The sequence below is a fragment of the Homo sapiens genome, chromosome 19 (genome assembly GCF_000001405.40).
Source record: "Homo sapiens chromosome 19, GRCh38.p14 Primary Assembly".
In the NCBI taxonomy this organism is placed as follows: Eukaryota; Metazoa; Chordata; class Mammalia; order Primates; family Hominidae; genus Homo; species Homo sapiens.
The window spans coordinates 36,815,076-36,832,032 of record NC_000019.10 but is presented as its reverse complement, the minus strand read 5'-3'; the positions used below and the strand labels follow the sequence as shown (position 1 = coordinate 36,832,032).

Sequence of the window (16,957 nt, the reverse complement as noted above, 5' to 3'; positions counted from 1 at the left end):
TTTTCACAAGTATATTGGAAGATTTACCCCACTGTTTGGGGTACTGAATTTAGCACTGCAGAAGTCTGATGACAATTGAATTTCCTTTTTCTTATATTTGATATTTTTATCTTGATTCCCCATGAGTTTTAGTCTAATTTTATTAGGTCATGTTTTGCTACTATTTTGGTTCATTTTCACCTGTAATATGGTTTCACTTTTCATCACGTTTATTTATACTCTATTTCAGGAAATTCATCTTGAGTATTAAAACTGTAGTGTTAGATACACAGCTACAACCATCGTTTTAGATATATCCTCTTAATTTGGATTTCATTTTTAGGTGCTCTGCGTTTTGCATATTGGATCTCTCTTTTCATTTTCATTTCTTCAAATGATTTTTGTTTCTTTGTTAAATTTTGTTCTGTTCATTAATTTCTGTATTCTGTGTTCCATACTATACTTTCTGTGGCATTTGTCAGATCTTATGCGCCTAGAGATGGGGGTCTCACTGTGTTGCCCAGGCTGGCCTCAACCTTGAACTCCTGGACTCAAGCAATCTTCTAGACTCAGTCTCCCAAGTAGCTGGGACCACAGGCACATGCCGCTGCACTAGCTAGTTTATTCTTCATTTCTGATGTGACTTAGCCTATTTTCTCTTTCAGTCTTGAATTCCACTAACTCCCATCTATGGTCTATCTATTACTTTCTTCTCTCTCCTGAGATCGTATATTTTTGCTTGTGGTCTGCTTTTAGAGCTGCAATTGCATCATACTTTTTTTTTAATTCAGACTGAAATGTTGGGTGATGATTTTCATCTTCTCTGATTTTTTTAGTGAGTTTTTTTGTACATGGGGGATTTTGACACACTTTTAAAACTTTGTGTGTTTTTTGTTGTTGTTGTTGTTGTTGTTTTGAGATGGAGTCTTGCTCTGTTGCTAGGCTGAAGTGCAGTGGCGTGATCTTGGCTCACTGGAACCTCTGCCTCCCAGGTTCAAGTGATTCTCCTGCCTCAGCCTCCCAAGTAGCTGGCACTACAGGCACATGCCACCACACCTGGCTAATTTTTTGTATTTTTAGTAGAGACAGGGTTTCACCATGTTAGCCAGGATGGTCTCGATCTCCTGACCTCGTGATCCGCCCGCTTTGGCCTCCCAAAGTGCTGGGATTACAGGCGTGAGCCACTGCACCAGCCTAAAACTTTTATCTAACTATCTTACGCATGTTATATCTAATTTATATTTTGGAGAGGATGTAATAGATTTTCCTGGAATAGCTGTCACTGGTATTTTCATGTGAAAAAAGTGAATGGGGCAAGGGTAGTTTTTAAGGTTTTTTTGCTCAAGGGTTTCTTCCTCTGTTACCCCAGTAGAAGACAATTTTTTTAAAATTTGGTTCCCTTTGAATAGCCAGGCCTTCTTTACCATTCAGAAGCTCAACTGGTTCAGGAGGACTCCTATTATCAGCTCTGAGTTCACCCAGTGTCTTCTACTATAATTAAGGAATACAGCCAAGTCCCCAGCTCATTTTATGAGGCCAGTATTTCCCAGATACTGAAACGAGACAAAGTATATCTCATAAGAATATGGGTGTAAAAATCCTCAACAAGTAGTAGCAAACCAAATCCAGTAACATCTAAAATGAATTATATAACATGACTGAGTGGGATTTATCCCAGAAATGCAAGGTTGGCTCACCATCAAAAGTCAGTTAATGTGATACATCATATCAATAGAATAAAAAAACAAAAATCACACAATCATCTCAATAGATAGAGATAAGGCATTTGACCAGAGCCAATACCCTTTATGATTTTTTTTAAAACATACACATTCTACAAACTAGGAATAAAGAGGAATTCAACCTGATATCTAGGAAAAACCCACAGCCAACATCACACTTAATGGTAAAAGACTGGATGTCTTCCCTCTAAGATCAGGGACCAGACAAGGATCCCCACTTCTGTTTAACATTGTACTGGCAATTGGGCTAGGGCAAATGGGGAAGTAAAAGAAATAAAAGACACTGGAGAAAAGAACGGAACACAGCTAAGAGCATCTCTATTTGCAGATGGCATGATTTTCTATATAGAAAATAAAACTTATACTCTGAAAACTACAAAATAGATGATATTCAAACAAAAACTTTTACATGAATGTTCATTGCAGCATTTTAAAAATAATTGTCAGCCGGGCATGGTAGCTCAGGCCTGTAATCCCAGCACTTTGGGAGGCCGAGGCGGGCGGATCACCTGAGGTCGGGAATTTGAGACTAGCCTGACCAACATGAAGAAACCCCGTCTCTACTAAAAATACAAAATTAGCTGGGCATAGTGGTACATGCCTGTAATCCCAGCTACTCGGGAGGCTGAGGCAGGAGAGTCACTTGAACCCCAGAGGTGGAGGTTGTGGTGAGTCGAGATCGTGCCATTGCACTCCAGCCTGGGCAACAAGAGCGAAACTTCATCTCAAAAATAATAGTAATTGTCAAAAGGTGGAAACAACCCAAATGTCCATTAATAGACGAATGGGTAGACAAAAGGTGGTCTATTCATTTGCAGAGATATTATTCAGGCATAGCAAGGAATGAAGTACTGATTCATGCTACAATTTGGATAAACCTTGAGAACCTTATGCTACGTGAAAGAAGCCAGTAACAAGTCCACATATGTTATTCCATTCATATGAAAGTCCAGAATAGGAAAATCCATAGAGTCAGAAAGTAGATTAGTCATTATTTGAGGCTAAGTATGGGGCACATGTGGCAGTGGGGAAGCCAAGGAGTGATAGCCAAAGGGTTAGAGTTTCTTTTCGAAATGATGAAAATATTCTAACATTGACTGTGGTTGCACGTATTTGTGAATATACTAAGAACCATTGAATTGTTCACTGTAAATGGCTTAATTGTATGGTATGTGAATTATATTTCAATAAAGCTTTAAAAAAAAAATACAACCAATGTGTTTTGCCACCTTGAATCCCCCTGACATCTTCGGGCCTCCTTTTACCACCTCCTTTTGACATCATTCCTGCTCACAGAAACTTTCATTCAGGATATGGTCTACTCCCCATGGGAATGGATATTCCTCATTTGTTTTTCTTTGTAGCATCACTGTGGCTTCCACAGACATTGTTCTTTCATTTTCTTTTCACATCTCCAAATAATTTGGAATCTGTTCATTTTCTGTTTCCTGATGGTTGGGATTTACTTTGATTTTCTTGTTTCTGTCTACATGGTTTCCAGGAGGAGGAATATCAGGATTAGAATTAGTTTTTGGCTGGACATGGTGGCCTACACCTGTAATTCCAGCACTTTGGGAGGCCAAGGTGGGAAAGTATTTCTTGAGGCCAGGAGTTTGAGAACAGCCTGGGCAACATAGCGGACCCCGTCTCGACAAAAATAAAATAAATTAGCCAGGCACAGTGGTGCATTCCTGTAGTCCCACCCTATTCAGCAGACTGAGGTGGAAGGATCGCTTCAGCCTAGCAGTTTGAGGCAACAGTAAACTGTGATTGCACCACTCTACTCCAGCATGACTGACAGTTTGAGACACTGTCCCTAAAAATTTTTTTTTCCTTTTTTTTTTTTTTGAGAAGGGGTTTTGCTCTTGTTGCCCAGGCTGGAGTGCAATGGCACGATCTCAGCTCACCGCAACCTCCGCCTCCCAGGTTCAAGCAGTTCTCCTGCCTCAGCCTCCTGAGTAGCTGGGATTACAGGCATGTGCCACCATGCCCGGCTAATTTTATATTTTTAATTAAGACGAGGTTTGTCCATGTTGGTCAGGCTGATCTCGAACTCCCGACCTCAGGTGATCCGCCTGCCTCGGCCTCCCAAAGTGCTGGGATTACAGGCGTGAGCCACTGTGCTCAGCTAAAAAAAAGTTTTATTTAAAAGAACTAGTTTTTTCTTAAAACCGTGTAATAATCACTCTCAAGTACTTCATGTTCTCAAACACAAAATATATTTTAGTTCACAATTTATTCTCCAGCCCTTCACTCTTCTTGGAAAAGTGCTTAAAGTTCTCTATGCCCCTGAAGCTGTCTGTCTCCTAGGACCAATTCATACTACAGGCTTTACATGGAATTTTCATGAACTCCTCAGATTATGTATATCAGTCTTTATCCTCTCACACCAACTTTGCTGTATCTCTAATTAGAAACATTTTTAAACCTTACTTTAAAAATGCAGAATGCTTTCTTATTACCTCTGAAATATGGCCCAAACTCTATACCCTATTTTTTAGGGCTTTTCATAACAGGATCCCTGCTTTATACGTCTCCATCTGCCACTGTCTTTCCTCTCTGTGTTCCTTGAATGCACAAAAATATCTTTGCTTGATTGGCGCATGTTGTTTCCTCTGCTAGGAGATCCCCCTCACCTTGCCCTGTCTTCTCTGGTGAGCCCCTGTGGAGGAAAAGTTAAATATTAAATTTGAACTCAATTGAACATGGACACAAACAATGGTCACCAAGTCCTGGAACAGGTTGTGTGAGCCCCTTGAAGCGTTCATCCAGTGCTGTTTCGGAGAATTCTCTATTTCAATCTATTCCTATACATTAGTCATTGAAAAACAATAGACAATCGCAAAAACAGGTTGAACTTTTTGTGTTCCTTGAGCCCAGTCAGGAAGGGCCCTTGTGACTGGGCCTCATGCCAAACAACTTGTTACAAAAAGAGCTAAGCTCCCAGACTGCACCAAAGCTTCATGAGACCTCTCCTCGCCTGTGCACGGATGGGTGGCCGACTGTGGAGCCCAGGCTGTTGCTTCCCGGTCTGGTGGTGAATCCTCCATAGTCTGCTGGGTGTAGTGTCTGACTCTGGAGCCCAGGCTGTTGCTTCCCAGTCTGGTGGTGAATGCTTATAGTTTGGTAAGTGTATATATATATATATATATATATATATATATATATATGTGTGTGTGTGTGTGTGTGTGTGTATGTGTATATATATACACACACACACATATATACACACATACACACACAACACACATATATATCTATGTATGTACATATATTTTCCCTTCTCTTCCCATTGCAATTTGCTTATTATATCATTTGCTTATTATATCTGCATTGCCATTTATGTGGGATAAAGGTTGTTTACCCTTAAAGGTATTGTGTGTCTTTTCTTCTCCCCTCGCGCATTTCCCACACAGAACAGCCCCTCAAGAGTCAGCTGAAGTACCATTTCCTATAGGAAATTTTCTGTTAAAAACTAGTTTTGGTTTGGGCTCCTTAGAACTAGTTGGCTCCTTTCATAACCATGATTACCTTTATTTCCTACAGTATTGTAATTGCTGCTTACTTTTCTGACTGTGAATTCCTTGATAGTAGGTCTTGCAACTTATTTATCTGATTCCCTTGTGCTAAGTGCAAAGCTAGATTCAGAGAGGCATATATATATATAATTTTTATTATATATATAATTATAGATAATTATAAAATTATCTATATATAATTTTTTTTTTTTGAGACCGAGTCTCGCTGTGTCGCCAGGCTGGAGTGCAATGGTGCAATCTCGGCTCACTGCAACCTCCAACTCCTGGGTTCAAGCGATTCTCCTGCCTCAGCCTCCCGAATAGCTGGGATTACAGGGATGCGCCACCATGCCTGGCTAATTTTTGTATTTTTAGTAGAGACGGGGTTTCACCATGTCGGCCAAGATGGTCTTCATCTCCTGACCTCGTGATCTGCCCGCCTCGCCTCCCAAAGTGCTGGGATTACAGGCGAGAGCCACCACGCCCGGCCAATATATTTTTTTAATAAAAGTTCGTGCTTCACAACACTGACTACTCGCCCAATCCAGCCTTCCTTCCATCTTTGGGTTCCCTTCATGAAAAAGCCACCCTGATGCTCACTGTCAATGAAAACACAGGAGGCAGAGATCATGGGCTGCTCCTATAAGGGAAAGGCCCAGCTCATCCTTCACTCAATAAAATAAGAAATTCTGAAATCCAGAGGGTAGGATACAGTATTCAAAGTAACAAGCTTTGCATTCAGCAAACCTATGATATTTCCTAATAGTGAATTTGAGCAAGTGACCCATTTCCAGATGTTTTAAATGAGACAATTAACTGACATTCATAGGCGGCTTGAGGATAAATGTTAATGTAGGTATGTATGAATTTAGGGCAAGCCAGAATTGACTTATCTAGTAGTATCCTGATCCAGATCATGATTTTGGCATAAGTGATTCGACTGAAACTTCATCCTGCTTTTGTTGAATCTCTCTGGTTTTGGATAGGGCCAGGATTTCTTCAGGTTCCTTCTGACTTACCTCCAAGGAAGAAAATGGCATTTCCTATTTGTCCCTTTGAGAGCTCTGAGAAAGGCCTGACCTTGTGATTCTTTCCTTCTAGCTCTGCTTTCCCAGCACGCTGCCTCACCAAGAAAGAATCCAGAGAAGGACTGGTGGACTTGGAATGTTAAGTCATGGCCCATGTGAGTTGGAATTGCCTCTCTCCAAAAATATAACCCATTTATATCAAATCATGTGAATATTTTTATTGCTTATCCTTAAACTGCTTACCTGAATCACTATTGAGTGTCATAAGTAATGACTGTGAAACAGTCCAATGCTTTCCCTAGATATCCCTCTTTTCTCCAACCAGTATGACCAAATCTATCCACCAGGGCTTTCAGTTATCTCCTGTGTCCCAATCTGGCAGAGCACTGAAGAAGAGAAATACATTTCCTTAAGGGGAACAGTAAAGACTTTTCATTTCAAACCTGTGGCTTAACAAGAGGGGATAGAATAATTAAAGGGGACATACTACATAAAGGCTTTTATTTACTCTGTAGAATGGGATGTTTCATTTAATCAAGATGGGAGTTGGTGTTGGTTGGGATTCATTTAGGTATGTGGCACTTTGTGATGCTTTCCTTAGCAGATATGATGGGAGGTTGAGTTCAAAGAGATCTGGGATTTTCCAGGAAATTAATGAAAGGTTAATATCATTAACAATCCAGGGCTAGTTATTCCAGGCTGGTATAGCCTCTCAGTGGTATCGACAAAAAACTCATCTGATGACTTTCACAGTAATCACTTATGACACTGAATTTGCTGATTGTCAGCTGCTTAACAAAGTCTGGAGATTCTACACATTTTCCACAGAAAATAATATTCAGCCAGGGAGTGTATCTCTTGAGAATTCTCTCAGTTTAAACTAACAGATAATTCAACTAAAAGTAGTAGCTTAAGCAAAGGACAGTTACCTGGGCCAAAGGCTCTGTATGCACAAGTCTGTTTGTGCCCAGTAAAGACTGCTTACAACTAACAAAACCTCCAACTTTTCTCACATAATAAATCTGGGGCTAGTTCTTCCAGGCTGGTGTAGCCTCTCAGTGGTATCAACAAAAAACTCCTATGATGTCTGTTCTGGGCTACCATTCTGATGTTTTGGTATTTGTGATTTGAAGATCATAAAGATGTGGTAACTGAGCAACAGGAGTTTTTACCGGGTGCAGTGGCTCATTAAGACTTTGGGAGGCCAAGGTGGGTGGATCACTTGAGGTCAGGAATTTGAGACCAGCCTGGCCAACATTGCGAAACCCTGTCTCTACTAAAAATACAAAAAATTAGCCAGGCGCAGTGGTGCACACACGTAACCCCAGCTGTTAGGGTGGCTGGGGCACAAGAATCACTTGAACCTGGGAGGCAGAGGTTGCAGTGAGTCGAGATTGCACCACTGCACTCCGGTCTGGGTGACAGAGCAACACTCTGTCTCGTAAAAGAACAAAAAAAAGGAGCATGTAGGCTGGGTGTCGTGGCTCACACCTGTAATCCCAGCACTTTGGGAGGCCGAGGCGGGTGGATCACAAGGTCAGGAGATCAAAACCATCCTGACTAACACGGAGAAACCCCGTCTCTACTAAAAAATACAAAAAATTTGCCGGGCGTGGTAGCGGGCGCCTGTAGTCCCAGCTACTTGGGAGGCTGAGGCAGGAGAATGGCGTGAACCCGGGAGGCGGAGCTTGCAGTGATCAGAGATTGCACCACCGCACTCCAGCCTGGGCGACAGAGCGAGACTCTTGTCTCAAAAAAAAAAAAAAAAAAAAAGAGCATGTAGACACTTGGCTTTTGTCACCCTTATTCCCATGTCATTTCCCCTGAAACCACAGGCAGCCAACTCCAGTTTTTCGCCCAATATATGCCCCACTCCCTGCAGTGCCCCTTTCCAGCCTTTCCCCTTTCATCTATAGGGATTATAATTATTTTTAAAAATTTCACCATTAATACTTGGAATTATTCTTTCCAACAGTTGATGATGTTCAGGGATGTGGCTGTAGATTTCTCTCAGGAGGAGTGGGAGTGCCTGGACCTGGAACAGAGGGATTTATATAGAGATGTGATGTTGGAGAACTACAGCAACATGGTCTCACTGGGTAAGATTCAGCATTTTCCTTAGAAATTCCTGCTTTCTGTATTGTGATTTTTTTTATTGTCTTTTAAATGTCCAGGGTAACTTCTGACCTTTGTTTTTTAGAAAATGGTTTGCGCTTTGTAAATCTGGCAATAGTTATCATCAGTGGGCACTTCCATCTTTCCCATAGTTTATACTTATTTTTGTCCTGCCTGTAATTGTTTCTCTTCCTTAGTAACCAAAGAAGTAGTTGCAAATTTTAGAATCTTTACAATGTGGTTCTTTGCTGTTTCTCATCTTCTGGGCAGGTTTTTGCATTTATCAGCCAGAAGCGTTCTCTTTATTGGAGAAAGGGAAAGAGCCCTGGAAGATTTTGAGGGATGAGACAAGAGGACCTTGCCCAGGTGAGTGAGGGCTGAACACGCACAAGGAGGCCATTGTTGTGGATAACAGCTCAGCTGCACAGTGAGGCAGCAACACCTCTGAAATATTGGTCTGGAATATCCCCTTAAGACCAAAAAATGGGCCGGGTGTGGTGGCTCCCGCCTGTAATCCTAGCACTTTGGTGGGTTGCCTGAGCTCAGGAGTTTAAGACCAGCCTGGGCAACATGGTGAAACCCCATTTCTACTAAAAAAACAAAAACAAAAACAAAAACAAAAAAATACAAAAAATTAGCCAGGCATGTCGGCGTGCAGCTGTAGTCCCACCTACTCGGGAGGCTGAGGCAGGAGAATTGTTGAACCAGGGAGGCAGAGGTTGCAGTGAGCCGAGATCGTGCCACTGCACTGCAGTCTGGTCGACAGAGTGAGACTCTGTCTCAGGGGAAAACAAAAACAAAAACAAAAACTGGCTGGGTGCCGTGGCTCACGCCTGTAATTGCAGCACTTTGGGAGGCCGAGGCAGGCAGTCCACCTGAGGTCAGGAGTTCGAGACCAGCCTGGCCAACATGGTGAAACCTCGTCTCTACTAAAAATACAAAAACTAGCCAGTGTGGTGACACACACCTGTAGTCCCAGCTACTCGGGAGGCTGAGGCAGGAGAATTGCTTGAACCTTGGAGGCAGAAGTTGCAGTGAGCCAAGACTGCATGACTGCACTCTAGCCTGGGCTGGAGTACAGTCAGACTCCATCTCAAAAACAAAACAAAACAAACAAACAAACAAACAAAAAACACTTTAATAAGGGCCTGAGGCCTAGATAGAGACAAAACCTTTTCTCAAAGAACTTTCTCTTCACTCCAAATACCACTCTATTTTTGTGCTCTCATTTTTCACTCATGTAACAAAAAGGTAAGTGCCATTCTTTTCTCCAGTGGCCCTTATTTTATCTATGATTTGGATCAAGTTCCTTCTCATCTCCCTTTTTTAAAATTTAATTTTCGTAAAATTCTTCATTCAGTTAAAAAAATTTTTTTAACCTCATTTTTTTATTTTACCCATCCCTTTTGAATTTTTGTCATTTTTCCTATCTTCTCCTTGATTGTACATTGCCTGCATTTATTAGTTCTCCTTATTAGTTCATTCTTTTAACCAACATTTATGGATTTTCTTATTTTAGGTTTAAAAGAATTAACAAGAATATATTGTCTCTTAAGAAACTTTTTGTTCTCTTCTGTGATTGGAACATGGCCACACATTTCTGCATACAGGGAACATTAAGAGAAGACCTAATAGGCTGCTTAGTTGAAAATCAGAGTAACAGGTGATAACAGTTTCTGGTCACAGTGAGGAGGAAGTGGCAGAAGAAAGGTTAGGGCTTATGAAGTACAACGAGAAGAACACAGTGTCATAAAAGACAAGCCCAGCCAGACGCGGTGGCTCATGCCTGTAATCACAGCATTTTAGAAGGCCGAGGCGGGTGAATCATCACCTGAGGTCAGGAGTTCAAAACCAGCCTGGACAACATGGCAAAATCCCATCTCTACTAAAAATACAAAAATGAGCTGGGCATGGGGGTGGGCGCCTGTAATCCCAGCTACTTGGGAGGCTGAGGCAGGAGAATCGCTTGAACCCAGGAGGCGGAGGTTGCAGTGAGCTGAGATTGCGCCACTGCACTCCAACCTGGGCGACAGAGTGAGACTCCATCTCAAAATAAATAAATAAATAAATAAATAAAAAGACAAACTCTGACTTGTCTAGTTCCCCGTATTCTCCAGCTTTTCCTCTCTAATAATAATCATCAGCTACTGATTATTCAACACGTATCCTGTGTCAGGCACTTAATAGAAATAGCGTATTATTCCCAATCCTTGCAACAAACCTCTGCAAAGTGATGTTTTATTCCTTTTTATAATATGAAAAATTAAGAGCTCAGTCAAGCTCAGTAATTTTCCAATCACCTAAAAAGTAGTTTTAGTAAACAGAACTAGAGTCTGAAACTGCAGTTTGTCATCTTTCCATTGCAGTACATTACTGCTCATACTTTGTAACTAAACTGCCTTTCAATTCATTGAGTCACTGCTAGAGTACTTGCTGTCTCCCAAGAAAAACTGATAACAATTGTACTCGATCCTAAATATATACATTAGAAAAAAGAGTCACAGAGGAGTACTTATTCTTAGCTTGTGCCAGACTCCTTCTCCCTTGAAAAAATTTCTCAAACTATTTTTTTGTTGTTGTTAAGACAGGGTCAGTGGGGGGAGGGGGGAGGGATAGCATTAGGAGATACACCTAATGCTAAATGACGAGTTAATGGGTGCAGCACACCAGCATGGCACATGTATACATATGTAACTAACTGGCACATTGTGCACATGTACCCTAAAACTCAAAGTATTAAAAAAAAAAAAAAAAAAAAGACAGGGTCTCACTCTGTCACCCATGCTGGAGTGTGGTAGTGTGATCATGGCTCCCTGCAGCCTCATCTCCTAGGCTCAGGTGATGCTGCCACCTCAGCCTTCCAGGTAGCTAGGACCACAGGCATGCACCACCACTCCTGGCTAATTTTTTATAGAGATGGGTTTTTGCCATGTTGCCTAGGCTGGTCTCAAACTTCTGGGCTCAAGCAATCCATCTGCCTCAGCCTTTCCAAGTGCTGGGATTAAAGGTGTGAATCACTGTACCTGGCCTTCAAACTATTTTTCTGTCTGAACTATCACCCATAATTATCTCCTTTAACCTAAATGCAGCATACCCTGCTATTGAGATCCTAGTACTTTGGTAACTCTGGATCAGATTACTTCCCTCATATTAGACTGATATTCTGCTATTTCCCAGCATTCCTATTTTTAAGCTCTGAATTATATAAGACATTCATCATAGTACTTGGAAACTTGTAGGTATTTTATGACTTATTATTCTGTTATTGAGGTGATACCTGGATAATCATTTTTTATTGAGCTCCTCAGATGAATATGATCAAAATAAAACATATTTCTCATCACTTGACTCAACTTTTATTTCTTTTAAATTTCTACTTATTTCTTGCCCTTTTTTTCATATTGCTCATATTTGAGAATTTTCTAAGCCATTCACTTCTCATATGCTTTACTTCAAGATTTTCTATATCTATTTTAGAAGTTGTATTGCTTTTTGTACATACAACCGTATGATGTTTTTACCTTCTTATTTTTCAGACATGCAGTCGAGGTGTCAGACCAAGAAGTTATTACCAAAAAATGGCATTTTTGAGAGAGAAATAGCCCAATTGGAAATAATGAGAATTTGTAAAAACCACAGCCTTGACTGTTTATGTTTTAGAGGTGACTGGGAAGGCAACACTCAGTTTCAAACACTTCAAGATAATCAAGAGGAATGCTTCAAGCAGGTGATACGCACCTGTGAAAAAAGGCCCACTTTTAACCAGCATACAGTGTTTAATCTACACCAGAGACTTAATACAGGAGACAAACTGAATGAATTTAAAGAACTGGGGAAAGCCTTTATTTCTGGTTCAGATCATACTCAACATCAGTTAATTCACACAAGTGAGAAATTCTGTGGAGATAAAGAATGTGGGAATACCTTTCTTCCTGATTCAGAAGTTATTCAATATCAGACAGTTCACACTGTTAAGAAAACATATGAATGTAAAGAATGTGGGAAGTCTTTTAGTTTACGTTCGAGTCTTACTGGTCATAAGAGAATTCATACCGGTGAGAAACCTTTTAAATGTAAGGATTGTGGGAAAGCCTTTAGATTTCATTCACAACTTAGTGTCCATAAGCGAATTCATACTGGTGAGAAATCTTATGAATGTAAGGAATGTGGGAAGGCCTTTAGTTGTGGCTCAGATCTTACTCGACATCAGAGAATTCATACTGGTGAAAAACCCTATGAATGTAATGAATGTAGAAAGGCCTTTAGTCAGCGATCACATCTTATTAAACATCAGAGAATTCACACTGGTGAAAAACCTTATGAATGTAAGGAGTGTGGGAAAGCTTTTACTCGTGGATCACACCTAACTCAGCATCAGAGAATTCATACTGGTGAGAAATCTCATGAGTGTAAGGAATGTGGAAAAGCCTTTATTCGTGGTTCAAATCTTGCTCAACATCAGAATGTTCATGTTGGTAGGAAACCTTATAAATGTGAGAAATGTGGGAAAGCCTATATTTGGAGCTCACACCTTGCTCGACATCAGCGAATTCATACTGGCAGGAAACCTTATGAATGTAAGCAATGCGGGAAGACTTTTACTTGGGCTTCGTATCTTGCTCAACATGAGAAAATTCACAATGAGAGGAAATCCTATGAATGTAAGGAATGTGGAAAGACCTTTCTTCATGGCTCAGAGTTTAATCGACATCAGAAAATTCATACTGGTGAGAGAAACTATGAATGTAAGGAATGTGGAAAGACCTTTTTTCGTGGTTCAGAACTTAATCGACACCAGAAAATTCATACTGGAAAGAGGCCATATGAATGTGAAGAATGTGGAAAAGCCTTTCTCTGGGGTTCACAACTTACTCGACATCAGAGAATGCATACTGGTGAGGAACCTTACGTATGTAAAGAATGTGGGAAATCTTTTATCTGGGGTTCACAGCTTACACGACATAAGAAAATTCATACTGATGCAGAACCTTATGGATGCAAGAAAAGTAGCCACATCTTTAGTCACCATTCATATTTTACTGAACAAAAAATTCATAATAGTGCAAATCTCTGTGAATGGACAGACTATGGGAACACCTTTAGTCATGAGTCAAACTTTGCTCAACACCAGAATATTTACACTTTTGAGAAATCCTATGAATTTAAAGATTTTGAGAAAGCATTTTCTTCAAGCTCTCACTTCATTTCACTCTTGTGAAATATTATATAAAAGTGTAGGAAGGGCTTTATTCATGACTCATTAATTGATGTCATTTATTTTTTTCTCTTGAGGAACACCACAAATGTAAGTAATATTGGAAGGCATTTTAACAGAGCACACATCCAGCAGCAGCAGCAGCAGCAGCAGCAGAGAATTCATCATGCAATCAATATAGGAAAGAAATTACTGATCAGTTATCAATTGCAGAATATCAGGGTAAAATTTTATGAGATAGCATGAATTCTTTTTGAATCATTCTCAAAACATTCTCATCAGAGATGTTGCATAAAGAATTTATATATAATTTGGCCAAGCATGGTGGCTCACACCTGTTATCCTAGCACTTTGGGAAACAGAGGTGGGTGGATCACCTGAGGTCAGGGGTTCGAGACCAGCCTGACCAACATGGTGAAACCCTGTCTCTACTAAATATACAAAAATTAGCCGGGCGTGGTAGCACACGCCTGTAGTCCCAGCTACTCGGGAGGCCGAGGCATGAGAATTCCTTGAACCTGGGAGGTGGAGGTTGCAGTGAGCCAAGATCACATCACTGCACTCCAGCCTGGGTGATAGAACAAGACTCCATCTCAAAAACAAAAACCCACAAGAATTTATATATAATTCATTTTGGAAATCTTTCATCATTAGCAAAATTCTGTTGTATTTCCACAAAAATCATGTAATTAATCTAGAAAAGCCTTGAACTATGTCATACAATTTATTTGGCATGTCTTGTTTCAATACATCCTGCCTCTATTTTTTTTTTTTGGAAAGTATCTTAAATCTATGTCTGTTTAATCGTATTCATTAGATTATAAGGGTTGAATGATTTGAGATTTACATGACTTAGTGACTGTCATTTGTATTGGTATTAAGCCATTTTATGAGAGGAGGACTTTTAAGACTATAATGATTATAGACAAATATGTCATCTCTATTTATGTCTTACTGAACATCAGAATGTTAATTCTGAAAAAAAATCAGTAAAATACAATGAAGAAAGCTTTGAATATTAATTTCACATGCTACATCAAAAAAACCTATAAAAGAAAGCCTTATGACTTTAGTAAAAGTGGGGTTGTTGAGTGTTCAGCAGTTTTTTAAAAGACATTCAGAAATAACTTCTCTCTAACAAATTTCTAAAGCCAAGTGTTATATAATTCTTTACCACAGTTATAACTCAGAAACTAGCAAATGGATAGCCATATGGATTCTTACCTCTTTGAAATTTACTACTATATATAAACCATTCTTAGATTAAAGAGCAAATAAAAAGTGAAATTACAGAGTATTTAGAATGATAATGAGACCTATATTTTAAATCCTGTGAAATAACTAAAACAGTTATCAATAGAAATTGCTCTGTGTATAAAACCAAGAAGACTGAGGGCAGTTTGTTTCTCTTCATCACTGTATCCACAGCACTGTATCCACAGCACTTAGGACAGTGCCTATAATGTTGTAGGGCCTCAAATATTTATTGAGTTAAATAATGATTACACAGCAAGGTAGAATAAGAACAAATACCCCAAATGAATGAATGGAAAGGCTTAATGAAAAGCTGAAATCATGGAATAAAAAACCATACAGGTTTTTCATCAAAATCTAGTCCTTTGAAGAAAACTATTATTCATTAGACTTTGTCAGTGCCTCTACTATATTATAAGGAGAAATGGAATATAACTATATGTTTGGAGATATTTTTTAGTATTAAGTATGTGAACTCTGTTAGACATGATTTTTATATGTGTACGGTTTTTTTCTAGGAAAACATTATTAAATATGATTAAGTTTCAAAAACAACCCAAAAAGTTCAAAAAATAGAAAAAAGTATCATGTAAGATGAGGTTGAGCACAGTGGCTCATGCCTGTAATCCAAACACTCTGGGAGGTTGAGACAGGAGTATCACTTGAACCAGGAGTTCCAGACTTGCCTGGACAACATAGGGAGACCCCCATCTCTGCAAAAAATAAATTAGCCAGGTGTGGTGGCACATGCCTCTGGTCCCAGCTACTCAGGAGGCTGAGGTGAGAGGACTGCTTGGGCCCAGGAGTTTGAGGCTGCAGTAAGCTGTGATCACCCCACTGCACTGCAGTCGGTGATGGAGCAAGACCCTGTCTAAAACAAAACAAAACAAACATGTAAGACTAGAAAACTGTACAGGCTACACCCTGAAGAATAGAAAATCCTATGGAAAATTTGCCAGGGCATGCTAAAAGACTAACATTTTTATAATAAAAGTAGATGGGATAGCTCTTGAACATCAAATTCCAGAAAAATTTCACTCATGAAGATACATGAAAAAAACTTACATAGATGAACCCAATATTTAATCAAAGAATAATATAGTAGATATTTGCTTATAATGTTTAAGCTCTGAGCAGGATGGATAATTTTTATTTTTGAGGTGGAGTCTCACTCTAGTTGCCCAGGCTGGAGTGCAGTGGGGTGATCTTGGCTCATTACAATCTCTGCCTGCCAGGTTCAAATGATTCTCCTGCATCAGCCTCCCGAGTACCTGGGATTACAGGCACCCTCCACCATGCCTGGCTAATTTTTGTATTTTCAATAGAGATGGGGTTTCACCATGTTGGCCAGGCTGGTCTCGAGCTCCCGACCTCAGGTGATCCGCCCACCTCAGCCTCCCAAAGTGCCAGGATTACAGGTGTGAGCCACCGTGACCAGCCTGGATGGGTAATTCTGAATGATGAAAAGTTACTTTATCAATTTCTTCTAAGTGAAGTTCTTGGTATCTTTTAGTGTTACATGAGTTAAGAAATGGTGACTATATGTACACATATTTAGCACATTTTGTAAGTCACACCTTTAACAGGTAGTTCCCTCCTAAATTATTGTCATCTATGGAATTTCACAATTTGTGTGAAAAATAATTTTTTGTTATGTAACTGTATTGTAATAAGCCATTTTCATTCATGTTGACTAGATCTTTTTTAAGGTGACAAGTACACTGAGATGGAGTTTCACTCTGTTGCCAGGCTGGAGTGCGCTTGCACAATCTTGGCTCACTGCAACCTCCGCCTCCCGGGTTCAAGAGATTCTCCTGCCTCAGCCTCCCGAGAGGCTGGGACTACAGGCATGCGCCACCATGCCCAGCTAGTTTTTGTATTTTTAGTAGAGATGGGGTTTCCCCATGTTGGCCAGGATGATCTCGATCTCTTGACCTCGTGATCTGCCCGCCTCAGCCTCCCAAAGTGCTGGGATTACAGGCGTGAACCACCGCACCCAGCTATGTTTATACTTTCAAAAACAGTGGAAGGATAAGCCAAGACCTAATCAAAATGATGAAATAATAGGTGGGAGCAGGGTGTGGTGGTGCACGCCTGTAATCCCAG

At 40.1% G+C, this 16,957-nt stretch overlaps 1 protein-coding gene and 1 long non-coding RNA gene across 12 annotated transcripts in view; one reads left to right on the top strand and one right to left on the bottom strand.

The window, feature by feature from the left end:
• Positions 1-14,605, top strand: part of ZNF790 (zinc finger protein 790) — a 33,365-nt gene extending 18,760 nt beyond the window's left edge. For 9 of the 10 annotated variants that reach the window (NM_001242800.2, NM_001242801.2, XM_047438800.1 and 6 more), the window contains exons 2-5: positions 6,341-6,422; positions 8,243-8,366; positions 8,653-8,748; positions 11,919-14,605. In NM_001242800.2, the coding sequence (NP_001229729.1) occupies positions 6,414-6,422; positions 8,243-8,366; positions 8,653-8,748; positions 11,919-13,600 (1,911 nt within the window). In that variant the 5' untranslated portion in view covers positions 6,341-6,413 and the 3' untranslated portion in view covers positions 13,601-14,605. Of the gene's footprint in view, positions 1-6,340; positions 6,423-8,040; positions 8,367-8,652; positions 8,749-11,918 lie in introns of those variants that run through there. The other variant, XM_047438798.1, reaches the window with a different exon arrangement.
• Positions 3,922-16,957, bottom strand: part of ZNF790-AS1 (ZNF790 antisense RNA 1) — a 30,562-nt gene continuing 17,526 nt past the window's right edge. The window contains exons 4-6 of one of the 2 annotated variants that reach the window (NR_040027.1): positions 8,212-8,302; positions 6,511-6,653; positions 3,922-4,383 (exon numbers count right to left, since the gene is read on the bottom strand). This is a non-coding gene — a long non-coding RNA (ZNF790 antisense RNA 1). The remainder of the gene's footprint in view (positions 4,384-6,510; positions 6,654-8,211; positions 8,303-16,957) is intronic. The other variant, NR_040028.1, reaches the window with a different exon arrangement.